The sequence below is a fragment of the Homo sapiens genome, chromosome 8 (assembly GCF_000001405.40).
Source record: "Homo sapiens chromosome 8, GRCh38.p14 Primary Assembly".
NCBI classification, from domain to species: domain Eukaryota; kingdom Metazoa; phylum Chordata; class Mammalia; order Primates; family Hominidae; genus Homo; species Homo sapiens.
Genome location: NC_000008.11, coordinates 123,122,825 through 123,139,337, shown reverse-complemented (window position 1 = coordinate 123,139,337; position 16,513 = coordinate 123,122,825). Strand labels below are relative to the sequence as shown.

At 37.3% G+C, this 16,513-nt stretch overlaps 1 protein-coding gene and 1 pseudogene across 28 annotated transcripts in view; both read right to left on the bottom strand.

The window, feature by feature from the left end:
- Positions 1-16,513, bottom strand: part of TBC1D31 (TBC1 domain family member 31) — a 92,467-nt gene that overhangs the window by 25,836 nt on the left and 50,118 nt on the right. For 10 of the 28 annotated variants that reach the window (XR_001745622.2, XM_011517379.3, NM_001363151.2 and 7 more), the window contains 6 exons: positions 13,149-13,282; positions 12,651-12,830; positions 10,825-11,057; positions 10,120-10,272; positions 9,005-9,140; positions 5,132-5,224 (listed from right to left, as the gene is read on the bottom strand). Coding sequence is in view for 27 of the 28 variants with exons in the window: in XM_011517379.3 (XP_011515681.1) it covers positions 5,132-5,224; positions 9,005-9,140; positions 10,120-10,272; positions 10,825-11,057; positions 12,651-12,830; positions 13,149-13,282 (929 nt within the window). In the remaining variant the exon portion in view is untranslated. Of the gene's footprint in view, positions 1-5,131; positions 5,225-9,004; positions 9,141-10,119; positions 10,273-10,824; positions 11,093-12,650; positions 12,831-13,148; positions 13,283-16,513 lie in introns of those variants that run through there. The other 18 variants (XM_047422429.1, NM_001363150.1, NM_001145088.2 and 15 more) reach the window with 5 other exon arrangements.
- HMGB1P19 (high mobility group box 1 pseudogene 19) lies at positions 15,654-16,228 on the bottom strand (annotated as a pseudogene).

Here is a 16,513-nt window from a genome sequence, read left to right as displayed (position 1 = left end):
TATTTCCAAAATTGCTACATTATATTCCAGACGGTCTTTGAGTTGACGTAATGATTTTTTGATTTTATGATGGGTCTATCAGGGTGTTACATGAATTTTCAACTTACAATATTTCTATAAGTTATCAGGACATAACCCCATCATAAGTTGAGGAGCATTGTATTTAAAATGTCTAGTTTTCAACAAAAAATCACATGACTGTTTGAAAAAAAAAAAAAACAAGAAATATGTGCCAGGCATAGTGGCTTATACGTATAATCCCAGCACTTTGGGAGGCCAAGGTGGGAGGACTGCTTGAGCCCAGGAGTTTGAAACCAGCATGAGCAACATAGTAAAACCCTCTCTATAAAAACTACAAAAATTAGCAGGGTGTGATGGTGTGCGCCTGTAGTCCCAGCTACTTGGGAGGCTGAGGCAGGAAGATTGCAGGAGCCCGGGAGGCAGAAGTTGCAGTGAGCTGAGATCACGCCACTGCACTCCAGCCTGGGTGACAGAGTGGGACTCTGTCTCAAAAACAAAACAAAACAAGAAATATGACCCATACATACTTTAAGTAAACATTAATCACACTATCTCCAAAGAAAATACAAAATGGCCAATAAACATATGAAAAGATGCTTAACATGCTAAGTGAAAGAAGCCAGTCATAAAAAATCACACATTGTATGATTCCATTTATATGAAATATCCAGAATAGGCAAATCCATGGGCACAGAAAGTAGCTTCGTGGCTGCCAGGGGCAGGGATATAGGAGAGTAAATGCTAACAGGTACAGTAGTTGGGAGAAGGATAGTAAACAGCCTTCATGAAAATGTAGGTTAAAAAAGCCAAACACAAATTGTATGTACCAAATAATCTCATATCACTATTAATGACATTAGCAGTTGTTATTTCTCGAGGGATTTTTTCTACTTTTCTAATCATCTATAGACAGCATAATTACCTTATAATTTGCTAAAAATAAAAATATCTTTCAATTATATGCAAAAAGATATATATGTGAAGATGCTTATTATCAAAAATTGTAAACCACTTAAACATCTAACAACAGAAGAAAGCTTAAATAAGTTATGGTTCACCAGCAGCCACTACCAATGACAGTTACAAAAATATGTAGCCATTTAGAAAAAGAATTTTAAAAAGAATTTTATTAAGCGAAGAAGACAAGCAGAACATAGAATTTTAGCTACTCCATAAAGAAGTAAAATCATGTATGTGTAGAGATTAAGGACTAAGAGGAAACAATGGAACTCTAAAAATGGTGAAGAGGATCAAAGATTGGGTAGTGGTATGAAGAAACATATTGGACGACGTGTGCATACTGGAGTTGTCCATTAGCTTTTTAAAATAATAGAGCTTTTTAGGCCAAAGGGAAAAGAGGGAAACTAGTATCTATCCAATATGTATCATACATCAGACACTGTGCAATAAAGGGTTAACTCAGTAGGCCTGAGTAATTAAAAACCTGCACATTCTAAAGAAAAGACTGGCCCTTGATCAGTTCCTGGGAGATAATCTCTAAGCCCCTGGAATACTCTGCCTGATAAGAGTGTCTGTATACCTGGAGATATTGGCCATGCCAGCTGGTTTCTGCTAAATGATGGGATCTGGTGGGAACCATGGGCCATGCTCTGTCAGTTTGACCTTTGGATGGGTTGTAGAGAAAGTAACTAAAGTCAGCCACATATGCACTCCATGTCTACATGACCCCCAGTAAAACCCTGGATACCAAGGCTTGAGTGAGCTTGCCTGGTAGGCAATAGTCTTACATACTGTCGCACATCTTTGCAGGAAATTAAATGCTGTCTGTACAACTCCACTGGGAGAGGACAACTAGAAGCTTCTGCCTGGTCTCTCCTGGACTCCACTCCATGTGCCTTTTACCTTTACTGATTTTAATCTGTATTCCTCTACTATAATAAAATGTAACCATGAATATAAGAGCTTTTCTGGAGTTCTGTGAGTCCTAGTGAATCACTGAACCTGAGGGTGGTCTTGGGGACCCCTGACACAGACAAATACGTATTAACTCATTTAATCTTTATAGCAATCTTTGCAAGACTGGTATTATCCGAAGGAGAAGGTACATACATGTGAAAGACAGATAGAAAACAGACTTGATAAATGAGGTCCTAGAAGATTATGAGGGGATGGGATCTGGAGTACAGGTTAGTATTTACTTGTTTCTTTTAGTTTATACTTAGTTTCATTCTTTTGTTGAACAATAATTTGATTCAAATTAGATACGTATGGAATGTTGAGCTCATGTGGAGGTAATCATAATATTGTTGGTTTTCTGGGACATAATTTCTTTAGAAATAGACACATTTAATCAACCTAATGTAAGAGATAAATTGGGCAGGTAAAGTGGCAATCACTACAGCCAATTTGAAAAAGGTAGTGGCAGCACATCCGTACCTAACTGACCAGATAAAGTTCAGGATTTCATATATTTGTTTTGATGAATAGTTTAACTCTTCTCTAATCCTATTGGTTTGTTTAAATAAATAATTCCTTCAAAAGACAGCAAAAAGAGATTAACAAACATTTGCCTCCCATTCTGATACACAGAAAAAAAACTCAGCATAGGCTGGGAGCAGTCACTCACACCTGTAATCCCAGCTTTTGGGAGGCCGAGGCGGGCGGATTACCTGAGGTCAGGAGTTTGAAACCAGGCTGGCCAATATGGTGAAACCCCATCTCTATTAAAAATACAAAAATTAGCCAGGTGCGGTGGTGGGCACCTGTAATCCCAGCTACTCGGGAGGCTGAGGCAGGAGAATTTCTTGAACCCGGGAGGCAGAGGTTGCAGTGAGCCGAGATCGCGCCATTGTACTCCAGCCTGGGTGAGAGAGCGAGACTCCATCTCAAAACATAACTTCTGTTGCAGGAATGCCACAGATTAAAGTTATGCACTCCTATGGGTAACTTAAATCTTCTCATGAAGAAACAACAGCCAAATGCTAATTAAGGGACATTCTACAAATTATCTGGTTTACATGCTTCAAAAAATATCAATGTCATAAAATACAAAGACAGAGTCACGAACATTTCTTATTTTAAAGGAGACTAAAGTGACAACAACAAAACAATGGATGAGATCTCAGATTTTCTTTTGCTCTAAAGGACATTTTGGATACAATGGATCAAATCTGAATAAGGTTTATATATCAGATCATCTTATGTTAATTTCTGATTTTGAGAACTGTACGGTGGTTATATAAGAGGATTCCTTAGTCTTAGGAAATATACACTGAAGTATTTAGAGGTAAAGGAGCATCACGTCTGTAACAGTTCAGAAAAACAAGTATATGTTTGTGTGTATATATGTGCATAGGTAAAGAAAAAGAGGAAGAGAAAGCAAATTTAGTAGAATGTTAGTGTTTAAAAATCTGAGAGACAAATATCTGGAAATTTTTAGTATTTTTCTTGCAAATTCCCTGTTAGTTCTAAAATTATACCCTTCGATTGCCACTATCCTCCACCCCCAAAGAAAATATAGTAAAGTTTAGCTTAGTCCAAATGAATTACATCTAATTCCAAATCATGGGAGACTCAGCCAAACTGTAAATCCCTTGCTCTGTTCTAGAAGAAATTCAGTGTGGAGACTTTAAAAGTGTTATAGGTGTAAATGGATGCTATATGGTTTAAATCTCACCTAATGTGGATATCAAACATATATGTTATGTGTTGTGAATTCACAGTTATCACTAATTTCAAACTAAAAGTATGACTTTTTTTTTGAGACAGGGTCTCACTCTGTCACCCAGGCTGAAGTGCACAATCTTGGCTCACTGCAGCCTCCGTCCCCCGGGCTCAAGTGATCCTCCCACCTCAGCATCCTGAATAGCTGGCACCACAGGTGCGCACTACCACATTTGGCTATTTCTTTGTATTTCTAGTAGAGATGGGGTCTTGCTGTGTTGCCCAGGCTAAAAGGTCTGACTTTTTAAGTGGGCTGAAAGAAGTGAAAACTTACAGTTTCAACACTAAATGAGTAACAAAACATTTTTCCTAAATAATAAAAATTTATATTAACAAAGCTCCTTTTTTCCAGTGTCTTGAAAACTGAATAGTAAGTACTAAGCAGATATTTGCTGAGTTAACTCCAGAAGATTCCAATTTAAAGTACTTTACAGGCCAGGCGTGGTGGCTCATGCCTGTAATCCTAGCACTTCGGGAGGCCGAGGTGTGCAGATTGCTTGAGCCCAGGAGTTTGGGACCAGCCTGGGCAACAAGGTGAAACCCTATCTCTACAAAAAACACAAAAATTAGATAGGCTTGGTGGCGCACGTCTGTAGTCCCAGCTACTGGGGAGGCTGACGTGGGAGAATCACTGGAGCAGGGGAGGTGAAGGTTGTAGTGAGCTGAGATGGTGCCACTGCACTGCAGCCTGGGCAACTGAGTAAGACTGTCTCAAAAATAAATACATAAAAATACAAATAAAGAAAGAAAGTACTTTACAGCTCCTGACTGATTTACCTTTCAGGATCCTTGTGAGGTATTGAGATAATTTTGTAGTCACTATTACGTAATTACAGGAAAATTTAGTAAGTTGGTAAAAAATCCTGAGGCAAAATCTGGGGCCTACATCTGGTGCTTCAGACACTAGACTAAGCTGCTAACAGAAACATGAATTAAATAATTACAACAAACTGTACATTCAGACATTTTGGCTACCTTACAATCCTGTGTGGCACTATATTCTGCTTAAAAAGTGAATAAAATGAACGCTAGAAAACCATGAATAAATACAGTCTAAAATGGGCTTATACAAACCCTGCTTTTCTTTTTCCTTCTTTTTTTTTTGGAGATAGGGTCTCGCTCTGTTTGCCCAGGCTGGAGTACAGTGATGTGATTATGGTTCACTGCAGCCTCGAACTCCAGGGCTCAAGTGATCTTCCTGCCTCAGCCTCCTGAGTAGTTGGGACTACAGGTAAGCATAACCAGCTAAATTTTAAACTTTTAGTAGAGATGGGGTCTCACTATATTGCCCAGGTCTGGTCTGGAATTCCTTAGCTCAAGTGATCCTCCTTCCACCTCATCCTCCCAAAGTGCTGGGATTACAGGTTTGAGCCACTGAGCCTGGCCAAAACCTGCTTTTCTTATGTTGGAAATAACTGAATTATACCTTCTCATAAAGTCTCTTTTGTGATTCGAGTTCCAGCTGTCTCATTTCTAGGTCTCTGGCTGTGGCAGCAATTTCTCGATCTCTCATATATACCTATGGCCAAACAACAAACTGTAAATACCAAAAAGAATTTACAAAATAATTTTTAATATATTTAGTAATCCTGTAATCTGAACGACCTACTAACAGTATTTAAAATAACAGCAACTGGGTTTTTGAAACCAGAGTAACAGACAAAGATTAATATTCACTGCAGAACCTAGGAATAATCTCTCAGTTAAAGTTAAGTTTAATTTAAAAATAAAAAGCACAATACCATATGCCCATCTACTCAGACTGGAAGAACAGATAGCAGTTCTTACAGTATTACAGTAACCAATATCATGAGTTAGAAAAACTTGAGCAATTTAAATCTGGGGTAGATAAAAATATAACATTTATTTAATGCTCTTTTTGACTAAACTTCTCTACTTTTATAAGTATGGTTTGACAATTAACAATTCTAGGTTTAAATTTCTTGCAGATGGTTCAACCTGTATGTGTTCTGCTCCAAGTGAATTAATTTAGAGTTCACCTATTTCCAAAATTTGATTAGTTGGAGGCTTTTTATTCCTATATACTAGAGGCTTTGGATATGGGATATGGAACTCTCTAGAGACTCTTAGAAATGATCTTAGATATAAAGTGAAATGTTAGATATTGTCATTATGGTAAAAGACATGCTATCGAATACCTAAAATAGGAGAAACACTAAATGAGAATACAGTTGGATGTGCAAACATATATATCCAAAGACTAAAAGAGAAACATGGACCAGGACCAGTTCAATTTAAAGAGGTTATTGGGAAAGGAGCTAGCTCAAAGGTTGGGGGAAGCTTGATTGTGTGAAGCAAGAACAGTAATAATGCCAGGAAGTGGAGGAGAGGTGTGGCCTAGCAAATCACGCTTTTTAGGAATTTCAATTACAGAGCTCTTTTGCTTATGAATTTTCAGAGATACAAACAGCTATGTGCCACAGCAAAAACCGATCAGCTTTGCTTGCTGCTAACAGATGTTCACAGTCACATGTACTTGTCACTTCAGATTCAAGCAGCCTTTCCTGCTAGAGTCTGAACCATGAGAAGAGCTTTTGCAGTTTGGCAGGGTCAGAGCACAACATCAGAACAGGTAGCTGGGAGGACAGGAGGCTGCAAGGGTAGGCGGAGGCCAGATCATGTTGCTGAAAGGAGTCTATAGAATTCTTGGACCAAAAAATGCCTCCTCCTGTTTCAAAGGGGTTTGGAATAAAGACATCAGAGTTCTGAGCTTACTTTGCGGGAAGAACATACACTTTTCTACAGTAATGAAATATCAATGTCATTCACTAGATGAGAAAATTAAAAGAAATCTTGGATTTTGAAAACCAATTTAAAATTAACAAGCTTTAAACAAAACAAGAAGTATCATGCTATAAAGAGATGATAGATTTCTAATACTATTGAATTAAAAATACTTTGAAAGACTTAGGCCAGGTGCCTGTAATCCCAGCACTTTGGGAGGCCAAGGTGGGCAGACCACTTGAAGTCAGGAGTTGAAGATCAGCCTGACCAACATGGTGAAACCCTGTCTCTACTAAAAATACAAAAATTAGATGGGTGTTGTGGCAGGCACCTGTAATCCCATCTGCTCAGGAGGCTGAGGCATGAGAATTGCTTGAATCCGGGAGGTGGAGGTTGCAGTGAGCCGGGATCGCACCACTGTACTCCAGCCCAGGTGACAGAATGAGACCCTGTCTCAAAAAAAAAAAAAAAAAAAAAAAAAAAAGACTTAAAAAATACTTAGTATTTTATCAAAACTAGGCTTGAAACTCTAAATTAGTGCATAAAGTCAGTGTAATCCTAATAAAAATTCCAATAGGATTGGGAGAGGTGAGAATTCCAAAAGTGAAACAATTCTTAGAGTCTACTTGGAATGATAAACATTTGAGAATACTGAGGAAAACTCTGAAAAGGAAGACTAATGAGTGAGAACTAGGCCTAGTTGGTAAAACACTTCAAAGCTACTGTCATTCAAACAGTGTGGTACTGGCTTAGGAATAGAAAAAGCGAGGAAGGAGATCAAATATGTAAGAGAATTTAATATGTAAAAACCATCAGTTGGCAAATGACTTGGATAATAGTCAACAAATGGTGTTGGGACAATTGACTTGCCTTTTGGAAATAAGTAAGCTAACCTGACAGAAAGTTAAGTCTAACTTGACAAAAAGATGGACAAATGATACAAATATGTAATGTGTAATTCTACACATGGAAGATAAGTAACAGAAAAGATACTTAACCTCACTAACAATAAAAAAAGGCAAATTAAAATAGACGATTTGTCATCTATCTGCTTGGCAAATATTAAGACTGATGCAGTACAATTGACTATACTAGGGAGTGGGTACTCTTACAGACTTAAAACAGCTGAAACTGTTTCATTTTTAGAGAACAATTTGTCATAATTTAGAAGTTACTCAACAAAAGTATGTGTGCAAGTACTCAAAGACTTTTACAATGTAGCATGGTTTTGTAATTTGCAAAACACTGCAAATAACCGAAATGTCCAATAGCAAAGGATTAAATAAGCTATTAATTCAATGGAATATTATACAACCACAAAAAGAGAAATAGATACACATATAACAAATATGAAAAGATATTCAGCATATGAAATTTTAAAAAGCAGGTTACAAAAACAATGTATAATGAGAATAATCCCATTTTTGTATAAATATAGGAAAACATGACTATAATTACTCCTCTATCTATAGAACATACCTGAAAGTCTATGTAATTAACCTTTTTTTTTTTTTTTTTTTTTTTGAGACTGAGTCTCACTCTGTCGCTCAGGCTGGAGTGCAGTGGCATGATCTCGGCTCACTGCAGCATCCACCTCCCAGGGTCAAGCAATTCTCCTGCCTCAGCCTCCTGCGTAGCTGGGATTACAAGCGCCTGCCACCATGCCCAGCTAATTCTTGTATTTTTAGTAGAGACAGGGTTTCACCATGTTGGCCAGGCTGGTTCCGAACTCCTGACCTCAGGTGATCTGCCTGCCTCGGCCTCCCAAAGTGCTGGGATTACGGGCATGAGCCACCGCACCCAGCCAATTAACCATTTTTTAATAGTGTTTCTCTGGGGATGACATGAGAACTAATGGAGAAGGTCAATTTTTAATTCTGTATGTTTTGTACTGGAAATTATTTTTATACTGGCCACAGATAATTTTTATATGAAAAAAGAATATGTCCCCTAATTAAAAATTAACTGCCGGGCTTGGTGGCTCACGCCTGTAACCCCAGCACTTTGGGAGGCCAAGGTGGGCAGATCACCTGAGGTCACGAGTTTGAGATCAGCCTAGCCAACATGATGAAATCCCGTCTCTAAGAAAAATACAAAAATTAGCTGGGTGTGGTGGCGTGCACCTGTAATCCCAGCTACTTGGGAGGCTGAGGCAGGAGAATCACTTGAACCCGGGAGGCGGAGGTTGCACTGAGCTGAGGTCACGCCACTGCACTCCAGCCTGGGCAACAGAGCAAGACTCTGTCTCAAAAAAAAAAAAAAAAGAAAAGAAAAGAAAAAATAACTTAATGGCTAACTGATACTGATATTTCTAGTTTTAGAGAAATAGTCACCAAGGACACTTGACTAATTTTCCTGGCATTTCTTAAATATTTAGCCATTCATGAAATACAAAAGAGAATGAGAAAGCTGAGGGGAAAAGTAAATAAAATTAAAGCGGCTATTTAGTATTCATGGTGGACTCTAAGAATATTATTTAATTTGAAGGTGTTCATTACATTTAAGTGAGAGTAAATGGAGATGATGTATGAGAACTAAGTTAAGAATAATAAACCTTTCTCCCAATTTCATCATCCAGTCTTCTTAGTTCCATTTCCTGTTGATCTTGCTGAAGCTTCAGAAAACGCCTTCTTGCAGCATCTTGTAAGTGCATTTCCTTTACTTTCAGCTCTCTTTTCACAGCAGCTAGCCTTAAATACAAAATACATCAAGTGGAACAAATACAGCAATTCCTAATATGATTTAGTTTTTTCATAACAGGTCTGCCATGCTGATCATTTCAATACAATTGATATCCTTTATTTGAAAGAAGAATGCGAGAACTGCTCCACCGTTACCAAAGATGATGTATACTTATGCTTTAAGAATTTTAGTAGAAAGCTCACTGGCTCAGTTCAGTAATTCCTTTTAACCCACACTATAAATCTGTTACATAAAGTTCCATCTAAGAATAGGAATCAATAAACACAGAAGTGAGTTTCCCAACTATTGGGCTTAGTCTCAATGTTTATCCCATTACTTTACTTAATTTACACATTTTACCTTATTAACATACTTTTATGTATTTATTTTTAAGTTTTTTCTTTTTATTTTTTAAGAGACAGGGTCTCACTATGTTGCCCAGGCTGGCCTTGACCTCCTGGGCTCAAGTGATCCTACCTAGTAGCTGGGACTATAGGTATGTGGCACCACACCCAGCTAACGTACTTTTGAATACGCATTTAATACTCATTCCCCTGTCCTCCAAAGTGTTAAATGGGTAATGACATAATCATTCTATGTTACAACTGTCAGGTCACACAGGTATGTTTAAAACACAATTAAAAAAATTATACTCTACTAAAGGTGATGTACCTAGCATTCTATTACAAAGCATTTCTGCCCACTATAGAATAATGTTTCTAAATAATGTCCTTCAAGGAACATTAATCCATGCAAAGCTATATTATATTCAGCATAGCTTCAGAATTACATTTTACTACATAGCAATTTTTTTTGAAAAGTGGTATATAAAGATTCTTTTTATTAACTTAATAGTTGCTTTATAGAAATGCTACAGCTGGGTAATCCTATATATAATGTTGTTTCTAAAATGAAAAAATGAAAGAACATAAAAATTATTCAACTAACTTATATGTCCAGATTTTTTTTTAAAGTGATAACACATACCTCTGTCTTTGTTGTATCATTTTCTCCTCCTCTTGTAAGAGCATTTCTCTTCTTGTTTCTTCAGCTTTACGAAGCAGCTCCTGTTTCTGGTACCAAGCTTCATCTTCAACTCTTTGCTGGTCGACTTTAGCTTGCATATCTTCAACTGTCTGCCTTAAGTAGGTAATATTATTATGAAAACACAAAGAAGAAAGCTAAGAATCATCAAAACACAAAATGTATACCGATTAATGTATAATCTATTTTATTTCCATATGCAAGAATTAACTATCTTTAATATTTCTAGCCTTCAAACTCTGATTTTACACAAATACTCATAATTTAAATGCATTTTTTTTTTTTTGAGATGAAGTCTCACTCTGTCGCCCAGGCTGGAGTGCAATGGCATGATCTCCGCTCACTGCAACCTCCTCCTCCTGGGTTCAAGTGATTCTCCTGCCTCAGCTTCCTGAGTAGCTGGGACTACAGGGGCGTGCCACCATGCCTGGCTAATTTTTTGTATCTTTAGTAGAGACGGGGTTTCACCATGTTGGCCAGGCTGGTCTCGAACTCCTGACCTTGTGATCTACCTGCCTTGGCCTCCCAAAGTGCTGGGACTATAGGCGTGAGCCACCGCGCTCAGCCAAATGTATTTTTCATTAAAACTTTCTTATGTTTATAACATATTTCATTGTATCAGAAAAAGAAAAACTATTCCATAATTACCTCTCTCTTAAGTAATCCAATTCATCATTCCTTATTCTTTCTCGTTCCTGTGTTTGATAGTCCACAATAAACTTTGGATATTGATTAAATACTGGATACTGCCCTTTTGTCAGTGCAACAAAAACATTAAGCATGCTGTCTGGATGAATGTCAGTAGGCGTGGTCTCCATGAGATGATAAACTTGTCTAATCACAACATTTATATCCAGGTTATTCCGATGGTGAAAAAAAAACTGTAAGAAAACTTGGTGTTTAAATCGAGATTTACCTGACAAAGCAATTATGAGGTAGAATTAAAACAAGAATTTAAAAAAAGTGTATCTATCTTTAAGAATATATATTTTTTTGCAAATTCATTAAAGCTTTTCTTTACTCAAGTTTTACAACAAAGACAATTTATTTAAAAAATGTAAGAGTTTCACAATCATAAGAAATTCTGACATAAAATTAAAAAATGAAGGCTTTTCTTACAATAGAAAAAGAATGCTTCAACAATGGAACAAACTCTGCTTGGATTTTTTTTTTCTTCAAAATCCAAAATAAATTATAAATTAGCCTTTGAAAATAAATTAGCTTGCTTCTTTAAAAATATCTAAAAAGTTTCCACATTATCTTGTTTTGCTGGAAGATCCAAATTAATGTATCACAGGATCATGAAGTAAAAATAAAGTTTAATTGGACAGTAACCACTAAATAAGTAACACATACACACACACACAAGAACCCAACTAATTCATCTTGTCTACCAAAAGAGCGTCTACTTTTTATAATGATCTTAATGCTTTCTTTCAGACACTTTCCTGCCAAGTCTCAAAACTCTCATAGTTACCTTTTGCATGTGTAATAAGCATTCAGACCCTCTAAGACCAGATGGGTCATGATAAGATTATGCACAGAATAACAGAATAACCTGTTAAACATCCTTTATAAAAGCAAGAAGCAGCCGGGCGTGGTGGCTCATGCCTGTAATCCCAGCACTTTGGGAGGCCGAGGCAGGTGGATCATCTGAGGTAAGGGGTTCGAGACCAGCCTGGGTAACCTAGTGAAATCCTGTCTCTATTAAAAATATAAAAAACTTAGCTGGGCGTGGTGGCGGGCACCTGTAATCCCAGCTACTCGGGAGGCTGAGGCAGGAGAATCTCTTGAACCCGGGAGGCAGAGGTTGCAGTGAACCGGGACTGTGCCATTGCACTCCAGCCTGGGCAACAGAGCGAGACTCTGTCTCCAAAAAAAAAAAAAAAAAAAAAAAAAATGCAAAAAGCACAAACCCCAATATTATCATGATTCTTTTCTTAAGCTATGATTATAAGACTACTAGCCTGCTATAATTGCCTACTTTATTGTCTATAAACTGTACACAGGTAGGGATGTGGTCTAACTTGTTATCCTTTATATTCCTACTACCTAGCACCAGTGTCTGACATATAACAGGGACTCAATAAATAAATGGATTTTTCAATTGAAATAACTGATATGGCCTGGCACTGTGGCTCACGCCTATAATCCCAGCACTTTGGGAGGCCGAGGTGGGTGGATCACGAGGTCAGGAGTTTGAGACCACCCTGACAGCATGGTGAAACCCCATCTCTACTAAAAATACAAAAATTAGCTGGGCATGATGGTGCGCACCTGTAATCCCAGCTACTCAGGAGGCTGAGGCAGGAGAATCGCTTGAACTTGGGAGGCGGAGGTTGCAGTGAGCTGAGATCGCGCCATTGCACTCCAGCCTGGGCAACATAGCGAGACTCTGTCTCAAAAAATTAAAAAAAAAATAGAGAGAAATAACTGATATTTGAGAACCTTCTCTTAAGAACAAGGACCGTTACCTCAAAGTCATCTTTAAGATTACAGCTGAGCAGAGGCGTTCTAGAACATATGTTGTAGGCTACAACAGTCATCAGAAGGAAGGAAGGATGGTTGGAAAAGATATTATCGAACAATTTCAGCCACTCCTCTCTTGTCAGCACTTCTGAGAACACAGTTTCAAGAAGAGGCCATGCATATAGCTAAAACAGATAAGGAAAAATTTATTATTTTTCTAGGGAAAAGTAAAAAGGGAGTCATTGGTAATATTCCCTTACATTCGATTTAAGCTATGAAAATCATATTAAATACATAATTATGAAAATAACTACCTTAATTTGGACCCTTCTTTACAGACTTTCAGGAAGGCAGTTTAATGAAGAAAAAGAATGGAATACTGTTAAAAATACAACATGTAGTATGCTTTTTATTATACTCCTTCAAGAAAAGACTGTTTATACCAGAACCAATGTTAGCTTACAAAATAAGGCATGTTATTCTAAAAACCTTATGCTTCTTACCTGGGAGGTTATATCATGATCTATGAAGTGTTGCAGCAGTTCCTTGTCATGAAATGCCAAAACATTTTCTATCATGCTAAGAATATTGATAGGAGGATTAGGAAAATATTCAAACCAGTGTTGACACCAATTGACTATGAAGGAAAAAAAAGAAAACATATCTTTAAATATCTTTCCATGTTATCAAAACTCTTTGCAATTCTTAAATGTATCCAATCTTTATGTTCTCAATATGTCCATGAATAATAAAAAAAAACTCTTTATATTGTATGACAATCGATTTTAAAATCCTATCATGTTAACATAGTATGTTTACAGAAATTTTGCAAATTTCCTTACAGTAGTCAATGAAAAAGTGTTAATTAAAACAAACAATCACAACTTCCCAAAGTACTCCTGATGGCATTCTGGCTCCTGACTCCTGCTTTGTTCATCACCTGATTAACGAAATGATCTTTTTAAAAAGGGCCCCTATTTAACCCTTCATTAAATGTAATCAACATTAGCATGCCAATCTCCTCAAATCTACTAAAATTCACATGTAATCAAAATTAGAAAACTTAAGGAAAATGTTCAAAATTACATCAGCAATATATAAAAACAAATGTGTATATACTGTATCCCTAATCCCTTAAACATTATAATGACAATAAAAATGTCCTCATTCTGAGGAAAAGACTGATTGTTCTATAAGCATGGTAATAAGGAATAACCAGGAATAGCCACCAGGACTGGTTTTATATCTAACTGATCATTGACAACTTGTTTCAGTAAACTTGACTTGAAAACCAACCAATCGGTAACAGTGGCATTCTTTGAAAGTCAGTTAGTCCAAAGTAGAATATATTCAACTAACTCTAAGGCTGACTTTGACTCACTTGCACTCTGTAATCAGTAGAACGACCCACAGATTGTTCTCAAAGCCGTATATAAGACCATCGGTTTGTTTTGTTCAATAAGACTATGTTTAACTTAATTTTAAAATTTTTTTAATTTTAAATATTGAGTTGTAGATTCATCCTTTGATAATAAGATCTCCTATCTCAAAATAGCAAAAGAAGGCTTTATCAGCAGAATATTAGATTACAGTGGTTTATAAGAACTTTCCAATTCTGGAGTTCCATTATTTCACTTATTATTGATTATTTAAATTTGAGTTAATAATGAAGTCAGAAATAAAATCTTGCAAAGACTGAGCTTTAAAAAATATTTCAAATTCTCTGTAGCTCTTAATTTTTTTTTTTTTTTTTTGTGAGACGGAGTCTCACTCTGTGGCCCAGGCTGGAGTGCAGTGGCGCGATCTCGGCTCATTGCAACCTCTGCCTCCCGGGTTCAAGTGATTATCTTGTCTCAGCCTCCCAATTAGCTGGGATTAGAGGCACCTACCACCATGCCCAGCTCATTTTTTTTTTTTTTGTATTTTCAGTAGAGACAGGGTTTCACTATGTTGGCCAGTTTGGTCTCGAACCCCTGACCTCAGTTGATCCACCCACCTTGGCCATCCCAAGTGCTGGGATTACAGGTGTGAGCCGCTGCGCCCAGCCCAGCTCTTAATTTTAAGTGGAAAAATATGGTTCAGCACCTGAGTACTTGTTATGTCTCTGACACTGGTAGTTCTGAGAACTTAAAACACCACACATATACCCAAAGGCCTGATCCTTACAATCTTCATTAAGAGAGCGCTGTTTTTCCTTAGCAAGAGGATATCCTACTGCATACAGTAACCGTCTGCCTGCTCTTAAGTATTTTTATTCTGCTTTGATGCCACCACAAAAGCATGGGTAGAGGACCTAGAGAGAGAACTGACAGATAGCAAAATACAGAGAAATGATAATTGTGTGGAGAGTCTTTGTTAAACCAAAAGACTTTATGTCTGGTCATAAAAGAGACTCTAGTGTCTAAAAAAGACTTTTACAAATACGTTCCAAATTATATGTAGATGTGACTTTTCCTTCAAAATGTCTTCTAAGTCCCAACTAGACTACAAACCTAAAAGCCAAAACGATGGCATATCCCAGCAGTGCTAGTGCTTAGCTGAAGTTCAGTAAATTTTTTAAAATTGTGCTTACTTAGAAGCATTCAGAATGTCAACAAAACAGTTGCAACTTTTTTTTTTTTTTTTCAATTATGGAGTGGTATTCAGTTAACAAAACATTTATTTTGTATAAGCTACATTAGAGAAAACTGAAGATGAAAAACTACTATCCCCATTCAAAATAACTAATTTGTGCTGTGGATTAACAAAAACTTGCTTTTAAATTTCCATGCCAATTTATAATCCCCATAGTGTACCAAGCGAAGTTAATCCTATTGAAAATATCACCAGGACAAGACTATCCAAAGACATTCGATAGGGTGTTAACTATACAAAAAAAGACACTGTACAGTTTAAACAAATGTTCTGGAGCCTTACATTTCAAATTTTTTCTTTAAAAGAAGTGAGTGTGTACAGGACTGTTAAGTGCTCTATAGACAAGAAGAAAATTCTGTGCCAGAACCAACTTATTCATTGTCTTCTTGATCTTCCTCATCCTCCTCCTTTTTCTTGCTTTTTTCAGCCTTGATGGTTCTCATTTTTGCTGTATCAGGCTTTCCTTTAGGTTGGTATGCAGCAATATCCTTTTTACATTTTTTCTTTGGCTTTGCATACTTCTTGTCAAAAGGCTGTTTGTCATCTGCAGTGGTGTTGCTCCACGTCTCTCCCAGTTTCTTTGCAGCATCACCAATGGATAGGCTGAATGTTCTCCTTTGATTTCAAGGCAATATTAAGAACAGAACAAGAAAAAGGCCAAAGGAGGCCTCTTGTGAGATGCATTGGGATCCTCGAACTTCTTTGTTTCCCCTTTAGGAGGGGTGTAGGTTTTCATTTCTTTCATGATGAAACTTAATCTGCCTTTGCCATGTCTTCAACTTTTCCCTTCCCTTTAGCAGACGTGGCCTGCCATTTCTCTGAAGCCCTTCTTAGAAAACTCTGAGAAGGTGACTGGAGTATCTGGGTGCTTCTTATGCTTCTCCTGGCAAATCTGCACAAAGAACGCATGTGATGACATTCTGCCTCTCAGCTTCTTGGAATTGCCTTGCCAGTGTTTAGTTCTTTTTCCTCAGCAAGGGTAGAGTCACCCAGTGTCCACTGGGCTTGCATCTGTGCAAGTGGAGCTCCAGGTACTGCAATGGCCGTGAAAGCAGGAGTCAGACGCAGCCTCCTCACTTGCTCCCCTCTGAAATGTTACTCTTTAATAAATGTTTATTGAGTAAAACTACTTTGAGACCCTTGATAAAAATCCACCACTCATGCTGACCATCCAAGAGGAAACAATAATCTCCCAAATTTAGATTTCAGGCATGTTTGTTTAGAAGAGAAAAAT